Source organism: Homo sapiens, chromosome 1 (genome assembly GCF_000001405.40).
Source record: "Homo sapiens chromosome 1, GRCh38.p14 Primary Assembly".
NCBI classification, from domain to species: Eukaryota; Metazoa; Chordata; class Mammalia; order Primates; family Hominidae; genus Homo; species Homo sapiens.
In genome coordinates, this window is record NC_000001.11 from 206,039,630 (window position 1) to 206,053,403 (window position 13,774).

At 41.6% G+C, this 13,774-nt stretch overlaps 1 protein-coding gene across 1 annotated transcript in view, besides 6 other annotated features; it reads left to right on the forward strand.

Annotated features, from left to right (window-relative positions):
• Nucleotides 2,199-2,700: an enhancer, noted in NCBI's record as "H3K4me1 hESC enhancer chr1:206299039-206299540 (GRCh37/hg19 assembly coordinates)". NCBI's record gives its function as "activates a minimal SCP1, AML or CMV promoter by ChIP-STARR-seq in naive H9 embryonic stem cells {active_cell/tissue: H9 hESC(naive)}" and the evidence as "EXISTENCE:reporter gene assay evidence [ECO:0000049][PMID:30033119]".
• Nucleotides 7,954-8,123: an enhancer, noted in NCBI's record as "active region_2391". NCBI's record gives its function as "activates an Ori minimal core promoter by ATAC-STARR-seq in GM12878 lymphoblastoid cells {active_cell/tissue: GM12878}" and the evidence as "EXISTENCE:reporter gene assay evidence [ECO:0000049][PMID:35858748]".
• Nucleotides 9,853-9,922: an enhancer, noted in NCBI's record as "active region_2392". NCBI's record gives its function as "activates an Ori minimal core promoter by ATAC-STARR-seq in GM12878 lymphoblastoid cells {active_cell/tissue: GM12878}" and the evidence as "EXISTENCE:reporter gene assay evidence [ECO:0000049][PMID:35858748]".
• Nucleotides 11,077-11,576: an enhancer, noted in NCBI's record as "active region_2393". NCBI's record gives its function as "activates an Ori minimal core promoter by ATAC-STARR-seq in GM12878 lymphoblastoid cells {active_cell/tissue: GM12878}" and the evidence as "EXISTENCE:reporter gene assay evidence [ECO:0000049][PMID:35858748]".
• Nucleotides 12,940-13,179: an enhancer, noted in NCBI's record as "active region_2394". NCBI's record gives its function as "activates an Ori minimal core promoter by ATAC-STARR-seq in GM12878 lymphoblastoid cells {active_cell/tissue: GM12878}" and the evidence as "EXISTENCE:reporter gene assay evidence [ECO:0000049][PMID:35858748]".
• The window catches only part of RHEX (regulator of hemoglobinization and erythroid cell expansion), a 49,277-nt gene continuing 49,046 nt past the window's right edge, over nt 13,544-13,774 (forward strand). The window contains exon 1 of the mRNA NM_001007544.4: nt 13,544-13,636. The gene's annotated coding sequence lies outside the window, so the exon portion shown is untranslated. The remainder of the gene's footprint in view (nt 13,637-13,774) is intronic.
• Nucleotides 13,600-13,659: an enhancer, noted in NCBI's record as "active region_2395". NCBI's record gives its function as "activates an Ori minimal core promoter by ATAC-STARR-seq in GM12878 lymphoblastoid cells {active_cell/tissue: GM12878}" and the evidence as "EXISTENCE:reporter gene assay evidence [ECO:0000049][PMID:35858748]".

Consider the following 13,774-nt stretch of genomic DNA (forward strand, 5'->3'; position numbering starts at 1 on the left):
AGTTCTTCCTCAAAGTGGCACAAAAAAAAAAAAAAAAGAAAAGAAAAAGAAAAGAAAAACAAGCTGGAATGTCTGTCGAGTGATGGGAGTGATGGAAAGTAGGTCAGAGAAGGGAATGAGGGGTGAGAGGATCTGCTTTCACTTGCTCTCTTTCCTTTACAACCCTCCCTTTTACTTTACAATTTACACGTGTTTAACATCTACTCTGCACAAGGCTTTGATTTTCAAAATAAGCTACATATAAAGTGACTCCAGCAAGATTCAGGCGCTGAGTGCAACAGATTAAGGGGACATTTACTGAGATGGGCTTTAAAATAGAATCCACTAGGAGATTCTATTTTAAATGTAGAGATAATCTAACCCTTGCTCATCATGTATCAAAATAGAGCCACTGCAGAAAAAAACAAAAAACAAAAAACAAAAAACAAAAACAGGCTCATTGCAAAGCCTCTTCACTGACCTACATTAAAAGTAGCAGGCATTACTAGAAAGAGATCGGAGTGGCAAGATAAATTATGAGCTCTGTTAGGTGCAAGAAGAAGAGATGCTCTGTAAATAGAAAAAAAGAAAGAAGAAGAAGAAAAGAAAAAAGAAAAGGAAGGAAAAGAAAAGAAATCTCCAAGGGTTGTAAAAAGAAGTTGTTTAACTGTCAGGAGAATTTTTTTTCCCCAGGTGCTGCATTCACAGGCAACTTCCATTATTCCCAGGCTTCCTTGGCAATTCCTTTCACCTCTCAACACTTGTTTTGAAAAAGTATCTTCACTTTTGAAAACTTGTTTTCTCAGTACTGGAGAGCTTAGCGTTTTCAACTCAGTCTTCCCCCTCTCGATCTCCTAATTCCCATTCTCTCCTTTCTTCCTAGACATGTCCTCTCTTTGGTTTTCAGCCTCTGGGAGGCAGACACCGCTAGGGGAGGTCAGTTCTCTCTGCAGCCTGCTCGTTTTAAAATTTTTTCTCTCCTCTCCTCTCATCCTTCTCTGTTTTAGCACAATATATAGTCACTGTAGAAAAATTAGAAAACAGGCCAGGTGCAGTGGCTCACACCTGTAATCCCAACACTTTCGGAGGTGGGAGGATTGTTTGAGCCAAGGAGTTTGAGGCCAGCCTGGGCAACATAGGAAGCCCTCATCTCTATTTTTTTTTTTTGAGACGGAGTCTCGCCCTGTTGCCCAGGCTGGAGTGCAGTGGCACGATCTGGGCTCACTGCAACCTCAAGGTATCTTGAGGTATCAAGATTGTTTCTGGGTATCAAGGTTGTTTCTCAATTGCTGCTGGTGTAAATGACACAGTAGTTCCCTACTTTACCCCCTGGATCTTTGCACACATTTTCTTAATTATGTCATTGGGATTAATTCCTCTAAGTGGAGTTGCTGAGTCTAAGGAGTATGGACATTTTCATTGCTTTTTTTTTTTTTTTTTGAAACGGAGTTTTGCTCTGTTGTTGCCCAGGCTGGAGTATAATGGCGCGATCTGGGCTCACTTCAACCTTCACCTCCCGGGTTCAAGCAATTCTCCTGCCTCAGCCTCCTGAGTAGCTGGGATTACAGGTGTGCACCACCACACTCAGCTAATTTTTGAATTTGTAGTAGAGACGGGGTTTCACCATGTTGGCCAGGCTGGTCTCAAACTCCTGACCTCATGATCTGCCTGCCTCAGCCTCCCAAAGTGCTGGGATTACAGGCGTGAGCCACTGTGCCTGGCCTTCATTGCTTTTTGATACCCACCACCAAATTGCCCTTCAGAGAGATGGTAACAATTTGCCTTCTTGCTAGAAAGTGTCTGTCTGCAGAACACTTCACTGGGCTGAGCATTTTAATTATTTTTTAAAAATAGTTTCAAATTGTTTTAACTTAATTTATTTGGTTTTTAGAGTTGGAACTTCTTTAAAGACATAGATAAATTTGGCCATCTTCATGTGTCTTTCTCCCAATAACAGCATTACAGAGCATCAGTTAGGTGCAGAGACTGGGCAGTGCACCCGTGTGCAAAGACAGGAGACACGAATCTTCCCTGAAGGAGTGACAGTCTAGGGAGGAAGGCAGACTGCAGGTGAGGTAACAGGTAACAGCTCTGTGTGAGGAATGCTATGATTGCAGGCACTGTGTGGGAGCCTCTTGCAGCCCTCCCGTGAGGGAGGGGGAGGCAGGGTTGGGGCGGAGTGTGCACAGGCAAGAACAAGCCTGGGGCACCGAGAAACTGCCAGAAGCCCAGGCTGGCTGCAGCATAAAGTGTAAGAGAGCACGGCTGGGAGGTGGGCAGGACTCAGATCATGGCAGGCCTTTCATGCCTGAGTAGGCAACCACTGTCAGGCAGGTTCACACACAGTAATCACATGCACGAGGTAACATGCGTGGAAGAGAACAGATGCTTTGCTAGCTGTCCTCTTGCCGCAGTCACTTTTTAACTAATCACTAAAAGGTGCTGGGTTACTATTGACCCCTACAGCACCTGTGTGGGATAAGGAAGGGGTACCCCAATGAAACAAACACAAGTTGGTTCTATATGAATTATATATATAAAATTATTAAATCCAAGATAATAGAAAATTAGTGTTTTTAGTCACAATACTCAGGATTTGAAAGTCTCTGGGATGTAACAATTCATCATAAGATAGTTTTAGTCATAAAATAATTTTCATGGGGACAACATTTTCTATGTCAATTTTAATGCCTGCTTGTTCCAGTTTTTTTTTTTTTTTTTTTTGAAATGGAGTCTCACTCTGTCACCCAGGCTGGAGTGCAGTGGCGCAATCTCGGCTCACTGCAACCTCCGTCTCTCGGGTTCAAGTGATTCTCCTGCTTCAGCCTCCTGAGTAGCTGGGATTACAGGTGTGCACCACCATGCCCCACTAATTTTTGTATTTTTAGTAGAGATGGTGTTTTACCATGTTGGCCAGGCTGGTCTCGAACTCCTGACCTCAGGTGATCTGCGCCCCCTCGGCTTCCCAAAGTGCTGGGATTATAGGCATGAGCCACTGCACCCGGCTCAGTATCTTATTTTCTATAAAAATGGTCACTAGAATTGATAGTCTTTCTTGTGACATTCTTGATAAGTAGCTTTTTATAATTGTTTTAAAAGTATCTACATTTTCCACTGCTGGCTGATACTACCAAAGTTAATGTATCCTAAGAGCTAGGATGGTTTTAGGAAAATGTGTCTGGTATATTATTACTGAAAATAAATTGAGGCATTTCATGGGAGGCAATTAGATTTTATTAATCTACTTATTTATTTATTTTTTGAGACAGGGTCTTGCTCTGTCACCCAGGCTTGAGTGCAATGGCACGATCATGGCTCACTGCAGCCTCAACCTCCTGGGCTCAAGCAATCCTCTGCTCTCCGCCTCCCAAGTAGCTGGGACTACAGGCATGTACCAACATGCTGGCTAAATTTTGTATAGATACAGTGTTTCACCATGTTACCTAGGCTGGTTTTGAACTTCTGAGCTCAAGCGATCCTCCTGCCTCCCAAAGTGTTGGGATTACAGGTGTGAGCCCAGCCATATCAACTAGATTTTAGAAAGCGACTTCAGGATTTTAGTTCCTCTTACACTAATGCTTCATCAGTATCACTCTTCCTCCTATGTTTCTCAATTTCAATTGTATATTTTTAATGGTTGCAGAAGCTCATATTTGTCATAATTTTTCAATTTATGCATGTCATCTAGAATACTGAAAAGACCTTGAGATATTCTTTATTATAAGCCTCTCTTTTAAAGAGATATTATTGCTTCCAATATAGAAAAAAACTAATTTTGCTATTGACCTTCAGATTGTAGAGGATTACAGGTGTGAGCCACCTCACCCAGACAGGAATTTTTAATATTTTATTCACTATTGGCTTTAAAGAATAGGCAACCTGGCCGGCCGTGGTGGCTCACGCCTGTAATCCTGGCACTTTGGGAGGCTGACGTGGGTGGATTACCTGAGGTCAGGGGTTCGAGACCAGCCTGCCCAACATGGTGAACCGCCATTCTCTACTAAAAATACAGAAGATTAGCCAGGTGCAGTGGCGTGTGCCTGTAATCCCAGCTACTTGGGAGGCTGAGGCAAGAGAATCACTTGAACCTGGGAGGCGGAGATTGCGGTGAGCCGAGATCAGGCCACTGCACTCCAGCCTGGGCGACAGAGCAAGGCAGCCTTAGAATCTTTTGGGGACCTATGCTGAAATCCATTAAGTTTGTCATAAATTTTTTTCATCTTTGTTGTATCTGCTCCCTCAAATCATTATAGCCTATATTCAGTGCTTCTGTTGGTGATGGTTGTGGTCAACCAAAAACCTAAATAATCCTTCTCCAGCTGTATCATTTACTGTAGGGAAAAAAATTAATGTTTACATATAGATATATTTGCATTTTGAAAATGTACAAATCTAAAAATAATTGTCAACTGTTCCACGTGGCTTACATCAGGAAATGTACCTCAAGTTATTTAACTGTGTGATATTTAGCACTTCTTACAAGATTCAAAATAACTTCAGTCAACAAATCTGCTATATTTTAATCATTTGGTTTTGCTTTTCATCTGCTACATAATGTGTAAATGCTATTTGGTGTTTATATATAGTATATAATATTTATATATAGTATATAATATTTGGTATATATTTGGTGTTTATATATAGTATATAATATTTGTACAATAATATACAAGTATATGTTTATATAAACAAATATATATTGTATATATACAAATTATTGCATATTTGAAACATACAATATATATTTGTATACTGCTGTAAATTCTATTAAGCTTCTATGCTTTTCGTAAATGAAGAAAATTCCTGTTATTATACTGCTTATACATTTTTGTAGATGATCCTCTGAATGCTAGATATTGTCTTGCCAAAACAGAATTGAGTTTTTTTGTTCAATGTAATATTTTCCTCATCATATAGAATCTGTTTTGCAGCATTAATAATTATATATTTCTAATCAGATTTGAAATTTGAATACTTAGCATTCCTATTGATGTTTATTTCAGATTCTTCATGTTTACAAAAAAATGTGCCAAGTGCTGTACAATCTTTGCATTCTTTCCCATTTTCCAGCTGATTTTTTGTTCTCAAAGAGCTGGCAAAATACAGAGTCCTTGGAAGTATAATAAAATAATCAGAATCTAGTCATTATTATTTCTCCTCACCATTTGGAAAAAATTTGTGTCCATTATATTTCCAAAAACTTCCAACCTGTATTATCTTTTGTAAAGATAAAAAATTTTTTACTTGAGGTGAATAATTTTCAGCAAGAGTACATCTTTGTTTCCTATTCAAACTACTTGGCCATGTGTTTGAATTCTTTGCATTTTTAAAGCTACTTTTTTTTAGATTCATCGATTATTTCTGACAATGGAACTAAAAGGTAAATTCACATCTCACATTTCTGTGACACATTCACTGAAACAAACAGCCCTAAACTCTCTATTTCTCCCTAAATTTATTCAATAATCCAAATAGTTTTACTTTACTTTCTATCTAGACAGCTTTTCATCTTCTAGTTTTAGTTTGATTTTTTTTTCTTATCAGTATCCTGGGAGAAATAATATTATATTAGCTTATTAAATGTTAAAGAAATATTATTAAGGCCGGGCATGATGACTCATGCCTGTAATCCCAGCACTTTGGGAGGCTGAGGCGGGTGGATCACGAGGCCAGGAGTTCAAGACCAGCCTGACCAACATGGTGAAACCCCATCTCTACTAAAAATACAAAAATTAGCCAGGCGTGGTGGCACATGCTTGTAATCCCAGCTACTCAGGAGGCTGAGGCAGGAGAATAGCTGGAACCCGGGAGGCGGAGGCTGCAGTGAGCTGAGACCATGCCACTGTACTCCAGCCTGGGCATCAGAGCGACACTCTGTCTCAAAAAAAAATATATATATATATATATGTGTATATATCTATATACATAATTAAAACATAATAGTAGTTTATCCTAGAACTTAAAACTTTAAAAAATATATATAATAAGCCATGAAACTTTACCAGCAGTTAGCTTTTCTCCTGAAGAAATTTTCTTTAACAACCCATAAACAATAGCTATGATACAATTCACAATTCATGATATAATAGTCTCTAATTTATGAATATAAAATAATTATTTTATGAATATATAATTGCCTATGATCATTAATTACCACAAAAGTGAGTTATGTAATAATAAAAATCCGTAGATCTAAATTAGGAATTCAGAGCTACCATTCAGGCAGACAATATGAACTGTAATGCAAAACTTCAAATTTAGCCAATACACAAATACTAATACAGGATTTAAAAAAAAATTAGATAAAAATCAAAACAAGAGTTGGAAAACAACTCCTTGTTTGGAAGCACTAGTTATTGTGGCACTCGTTACTTAAACCAATAAGGTCTTTGTCAAACACTCTCTGCTTCAGCTTATGAAGTAAATGTCAACCCTGTTAGAAAATCTATTTCCATCTGAAAGAAAATTGTCATAAAAAAGGATCTTTGTTAGAGAAGACATTTTATTGTTATTTGTCAGAAAACTATTTTAATAAGAATATGTCATCTACCTTTAGAGTTAGCAGTTAAATAAAAAAGTGAAAAAAATTCAACATAATGATGTCTGTGATGTGCATAGTTTCTGTCTTTCTTTTTTTTTTTTTTTGAGACGGAGTTTCACTCTTGTTGCCCAGGCTGGGGTCCAATGGTGCGATCTTGGCTCGCTGCAACCTTCACCTCCCGGGTTCAAGCGATTCTCCTGCCTCAGCCTCCTGAGTAGCTGGGATTACAGGCATGCCCCACCACGCCTGGCTAATTTTTTATATTTTTAGTAGAGACAGGGTTTCTCCATGTTGGTCAGGCTAGTCTTGAATTCCCAACCTCAGATTATCTGCCCACCTTGGCCTCCCAAAGTGCTGGGATTACAGGTTGGATAGTTTCTTTAGATGTCATGCCCTTGAGCAATAAACAACCTGAACAACTGTCCTTAGCTACTCCAAAATTTATGTGGTTATTACAGCTAATAAAGATGATATAGAAACAATCTGTGTAGTAAATGAAAGGTAGTTTAAGGGATTTTGAGACCTCTGTTTGGATGCTGGTTTTGTTGTTTGCTAACTGTGACCTGGAGCAATTCACTTATCACTCAGTTACCTCAGCTACAAATGGGGATAAGTATGCCTCATCCTTTAAACTGCTGACCGGAGGTCACACGAGATATCCCCAGTTCTGAGTCGTCAACGAAATCGTAAGATGTGCATAAGGTTTCCATTTTGCACTTGTTAAAAATGTGCTTGCGGCCAGGTGCGGTGGCTCATGCTTGTAATCCCAGCACTTTGAGAGGCCGAGGCCGGTGGATCACTTGAGGTCAGGAATTTGAGACCAGCCTGGCCAACATGGTAAAACCCCGTCTCTACTAAAAATACAAAAATTAGCTGGACATTGTGGTGGGTGCCTGTAATCCCAGCTACTCGAGAGGCTGAGGCAGGAGAATCACTTGAACCCGAGAGGCAGAAGTTGCAGTGAGCCGAGATCACGCCACTGCACTCCAGCCTGGGCGACAGAGTGAGACTCTTGTCTAAATAAACAAATAAGTAAGTAAAATGTGCTTGCTTAAAAAAAATTTTTATTATGTTTTTAAATTGAATGAAGGATATGTGCAGAGCCAGTAAAGGATGGTAATATGGGATCAGTTCCTGTTAAGTCACCTGTGGACAGTTCTGGCTTCACATGTTCACTGGTGCTCTTTTGTAGGAGCCCAAGAGGCTGACAGTTTAATTTTCTTAGGATGCCAAATGTTAAGACACCTGTTTGACGTTTGCAAATAAGCTGCTGTGCAAAATGAAAACCTGATGGTGATCTTTAAAGCAACCCCAACCAATAAATACCTCTGTAATAAACCTCAAGAGGACGCAGGGTTTCTATTTGGAGAAATGAAATTCTGCAAAAGCAACCAGAAAAACATTTAAAGTCCTAGAAATGGTGAGAGTATATGGCTCCACTCGGTTACGGCAGCACATCTGTGGCCAGCCTGAAAAAGAGCAAAGGGAGTGTGTCCAACTTCTCATTCATTCAATGAGCATTTATTGAGGGCTGCTGTGTTCCAGGCACTGGCCTAGAAGCCGGGGAGATAAGTGAAATCAGACATGATCTCAGTCCACTGGGCTCTTGAAGTTCATGAACTGTCTTTCGTGCCCTCTGTCTTCCCAGGTTCTGTTCCTCCCTCCTTCTGCATCCTAGGTGACAGCCTTCCTTTCACCCTCAGGTGTACAATGCTCCCTCTCTTAGCAGTGATTTCAGATGTTCATCGAAGGAAAAATGGCTGGATATTCCAACTGCCATGCCTTCACTACAAGCACCCTCCCATCTGGTATATCCACAGCCTCAGCACTGCCATAGGAATCCTTCCTACACATCCGTGACCACAACAAATGCCACCTCCTCCATGTAGTCTTCCCTCGTCACTAAAGTTAGAAACAACCTGCTCCTCCTTTCTGATCCAATAGCCCTTTCTTTGTACATCTTTTTAGCTTTGATTATACACCTACCTTTTGTTACAGCTGCTATGGTTGCCGCGGATATTTTCCTCGCTAAATTGGGGTGGGGGGTGAGCGTGGGGTAGCACTCTCTGAACCCAGGGCCCGTGTCTCATTCTTCTCTATCCTTGTAAGCTGTCTCACGCTGCTAAGGACATACCATATGCTACAGAGAAGTTTGACTGGATTGGATTTTTTTTTCTTTGATTTTAGCTACCCAGAATCAGATTGATCAATCCCCCTAGTGGCATTCTTACATCATGGGTCCACGAACTGCTCTTATGTTCTATTTATTTCATATTTTTGAGTCTTTGTTCTCCATTTCCCGTCCGCTCCACCCATCCCACCCCACTCCTGTTATAGACACACTCTCTTGTTTTATTAAAGTGTGACCTTCGAATCTATCTTCCATAATGTTATTTGCACACTTGTGTAAGCTTGAGTGATACTTGAGATTGTTGGGATTGAATTTGCCTTTGGCTGAGGGAATGAAACACCTCCACTGGAATTTCAGGCACCAGCACCTGCAAGGAAGTTTTTTGAGGCAGTGGCTCTTGGAATCACAGCAGGAGGTAGTCAGCAGCTTAGTCCAGGGGCGGCGGACTTATCCAGCTTCCTCTTCCGCTTCTTCTGCAGGCTCCCCCAACCTCAGAGCCTCCTTGTTGCCTCATGCCTGGACTTTGCCCCTCTGGTAGAGCCTTTCTACACAGCCGCTGCACTGCCAGCCAGCAGGCTCCGGGGGGAATTCTTGTGTCCAAGCAATTGCTGTCCTCTTGACACATCGCTATTTGAGAACACCCAATCTGTTCCTCCTGAATCTTTTGGCTTGCACCCCTGGATGTAGCATAGCACACTCTTGGCAGATAAGGCAAAATGCTCCTCTCTTGCCCTATGGTGAAGAAATGCCATGGGTCCTTAGATCAGCAATTCTCAAACTCTTTGGCCTCCAGACCCCTGTACACTCTCAAAAAGTACTAAGGAACCCAAAACGCTATTGTTTATGTAGTTTATATCTATTCATATTGACCATATCAGAAATTAAAACTAAGAAAATTTAAAAATATTTATCTAATCCCCTTAGAAAATAGTACCAAAGCCATTACATCTTAAACATAACACTTTTTATGAAATATAACTATTTCCCAAAGCATGAAGAATTTAATGAAAAGAGAAGCACTGTTTTATGCATGTGCAAATCTCATTATTCATACCTAGCTCAATAAAAGACAGCTGAGTTCTCAGGTCTGCCTTTGCACTCAGTCTCATGCCATACCACATGTCACATAGACTTTGGGAAACTCCACTGTATGCTTGAGAGAAACTGAGAGTGAAAAAGGCAACTAGTATCTTAGTATTATTAAGAGAGTGGTTTTGACCTCATGAACCCTCTGAAAAGATCTCTGGAACCCCCAGGGGGTCCCTGGACTACACTTTGAGAACTGCTCCCTAGATCATTGGTTTCTTGATGACAAGGCCTTTTTCTATTCATCCTTACAGACTGGGTTATTTATTTATTTATATTTATTTATTTATTTATTTAAACTGAAAGACCAGTGTAATAGGACAGACTGGGCTTTAAACAGACTATGTAGTTGGCACTCAGTAAACTTTGCCTGAATTGTTTGGAAATGTCTGTGTCATGAGGGTTTATCGCTCCATCATCAGCATCCAGGGACATGCTATACTCACTCTAGTGATGCTGTTATTGCTGAAGGCGTTTGGATTCTCCTTGGAGGTCGGCCTTTAGAGAAATTGGTAGTTCTGTTGAATATCCTCAGTGATGTCATATCTTTGTTCTCTGAGGAGTGCTTTGATTTTTGGAAACAGCCAGAGTGAAATCTGGATTATAATATGAGTAGTCAAATTGGGTAACACTGTATTTTGGATTTGTAAAAAGGAATACTGACTTCCTAAAACTGGGATGGCAGATCTACTTTAATGGCCATTTCTCTAATTTTACACACATATTTACACCTGTGCAAATGATGTTTGTTGCAGTTTAATAATTACATCATCATTTCAAGTGTAAAAAGTGGAAACAATCTAAATTTACTACTAGATGACCAGTTAAATAAACTGTGAGCAACCATAGAACGGAACACTCTGAAGAGGAAGAAAGGAATGAGAAAGTTCTGTATGTATTAATAATAAATTAACTCCTAGATATATTAAGTGAAAAAGCAAAAGGCAAAACAAAGTATGTAGTACACTGTCATGTGTAAGGAAGACGCCTGTATGGTGAGTGTGTTTCTGTGTGTCTGTGTGTTTGCTCATGTACACATAACGTACACAATAAACTGGGCATGCTGGTTTCCTCCAGGGAGGAGAACTAGATGGCTGGGGTCAAGAGCAGATGAGCAGCTTTTCCAGGACTATCCTTTTGTACCTTTTGAATTCTAAAACCATCTGAATGTGACCTAATGAAACAAACACTTCAAAAGTCCCAAACTGAAAAGGTGATGATGTCCTCCCCTTACAAAATTAAAAATAAAAACAATTTTAACACTTAGAAAACCTATTCTCTAAAAGAATTCTCTGTATTTCCTGGCCAATAACACAATTGTTAGAAGAAATGTACAATGTACCAGGTGACATGTGGAAGGGGACAACAGAAGGGGGCAATGACAGGCACTTGTGAAAACATTTGCCTTTTTCTTGATCACGTCTTGTTCCTCTTCTCATCCTTGCTTCATTTCACAAATAGGGGAACTGAGTCCAAGTAAGTGAAGTGACTCATCCGTGCCACCTGGGCTCTTGGTTCCAATGCTTGCCTTGTTAGGGGATTTCCTGACTGCTCCTGCAGCTCTCTTTGCTAGAATGTGGTAAGAGTTGGGGGAGGAGAGGGTGGCAGATCCTCTTTCATTTGGCCTTAAGCACACCTCCCTCTTCGCCTCTCACCCTGAGCAGGGCTGGCGCCTGAGGCCGGTGAACACCTGTGGTGGTGGCTGTGGGACAGCATCTTCCCCTGCTCTTTCTCTTCCTTCTTCCCCTTGGCCACCCACACCCAGGCAGGTGTCCTCCCCAACCCCAGGACACTGCTCTTGGTGTTTCACAGGCACGTGTCCTCTTTTTCTGAAATTGACATTACCCAGTTCAACATCACCTACTTTACCGGAGTACTTTGGGCTCTTTCAAATCAATTTCCGCTTCGAAGGCTAAAGATTTGTCATCAGCTAAGAGGTTCAAAAGTCTGTGGTGTAGGCTCTCCAAAATTCTGGCAGAGGTCAGTTGACCCTGGCTTTTATGAAGGAGTCTTTGGCATTCATTCATTCATTCATTTATTGAAGAAATATGTATTGGACCTATTCATTGCATGAGGCACTTTCTAGACACTGGGGGTGAAATGTTGGCCAAAACAGATAAGGTCTCTGTTCTTATGAAGCTCACATTCATGTGATGAGAGGCTGACAATAATCAAGTAAACAAATAAATGATCAAGGTGACTTCAGATACTAATAGATGAGAGGGCGATGTGACAGATAGGGTCTGGGGAGCCACCTTTGAATTTGTGCTGAATTCTATCTGAAGATGCCTTCACTAAGAGAGAGGTGCTGTCTCCATGGCCTTTGAGGCCCTCCCCTCCAGTGGTGAGATTTTAACAATCTCCCCATCTGACAGGTTCCCATGCAGGAATGAAAGACATGGAAGGGAAGAGGGGGGCCAGCTCCCTGAGTCCTGTGTCCACCAGCTGCTGCTAAATACCTCTGAGAAACTCTGCTTCTATCTAAGGGGACCTACTTCTCTCGGGAATCTCAATACTTGGAACAAGAACCTCCTAGACGGACCCTTTGGCATAATGAATTGGACCAACTGTAGGTTCCAGGACTAGAGAGCCAGCAATGCCTCCATGAACAATCTCACCCAATTACTCTGCTCAGGTAAGACCAACTGAAAACTAGAACAATACAAATGGTGGTTATTCCTGTCTTCTGTTTCTTTGTTTGTTTTTGTGACAGGGTCTTGCTCTGTCACCCAGGCTAGAGTACAATGGTGTGATCATGGCTCACTGCAGCCTCGACTTCCCTAGCTTAAGTGATTCTCCTATCTCAGCCTCTCAAGGAGCTGGGACTACAGGCATGCAGTAGCACACCCAGCTAATTTTCGGATTTTTTTTTTTTAAAGTAGAGACAAGGTCTAGCTATATTGCCCAGGCTGGTCTCAAACTCTTGAGCTCAGGCGGTCCTCCTGCCTTGACTTCCCAAAGTGCTGAGATTATAGGCGTGAGCCACTGGGCCTGGCTCGTTATTACTGTTGAATAATAGTCTGATCACTGAGTTCTTAAACAACTCCATGAGGTAGGCATTCATATTCTGTCTGTTTCACAGATGAGGCTCAGAAAAGCTAAGTGTTTGTCCTAAGATCACAGTTAGGAAGTGTCTGAGACCCAGGTCACTGTGAGGGAAGAGAGAGACCCTCTCATATTGTTTTATATTGTTTTATACTCAGTACCTGTTTTAAGGAAAAACAACAAGGAAGTAAAACCAAAGACAGGCAGTCCGGCGCCAGGCCCGAAACCAGGCCTGGGCCTGCCTGGCCTAAACCCAGTAGTTAAAAATCAACTCATAACTTAGAAACTGATGTTATTCATAGATTCCAGACATTGTATAGAAGAACATTGTGAAACTCCCTGCCCTGTTCTGTTTCTCTCTGACCACCGGTGCATGCAGCCCCTGTCACATACCGCCTGCTTGCTCAAATCAATCATGACCCTTTCATGTGAAATCTTTAGTATTGTGAGCCCTTAAAAGGGACGGAAATTGTGCATTCGGGGAGCTCGGATTTTAAGGCAGTAGCCTGCTGATGCTCCCAGCTGAATAAAGCCCTTCCTTCTACAATTTGGTGTCTGAGGGGTTTTGTCTGCGGCTCGTCCTGCTACATTTCTTGGTTCCCTGACCAGGAAACGAGGTAACTGATGGACAGCCGAGGCAGCCCCTTAGGCGGCTTAGGCCTCCCCTGTGGAGCATCCCTGAGGCGGACTCCGGCCAGCCCGAGTGACGCGATCCAAAGAGCACTCCCGGGTAGGAAATTGCCCCGGTGGAATGCCTCACCAGAGCAGCGTGTAGCAGTTCCCTGTGGAGGATTAACACAGTGGCTGAACACCGGGAAGGAACTGGCACTTGGAGTCCGGACATCTGAAACTTGGTAAGACTAGTCTTTGGAACTTGCCCCACTCCATCTAGGTGGAAGTGTGGCCTGATCACCCACGACATGCCTGCATTGGCACTTCTGTTCTGGTTTTGACTTGACTTAGATTGTGTGATACTTTGGTTTTGGTTTTGG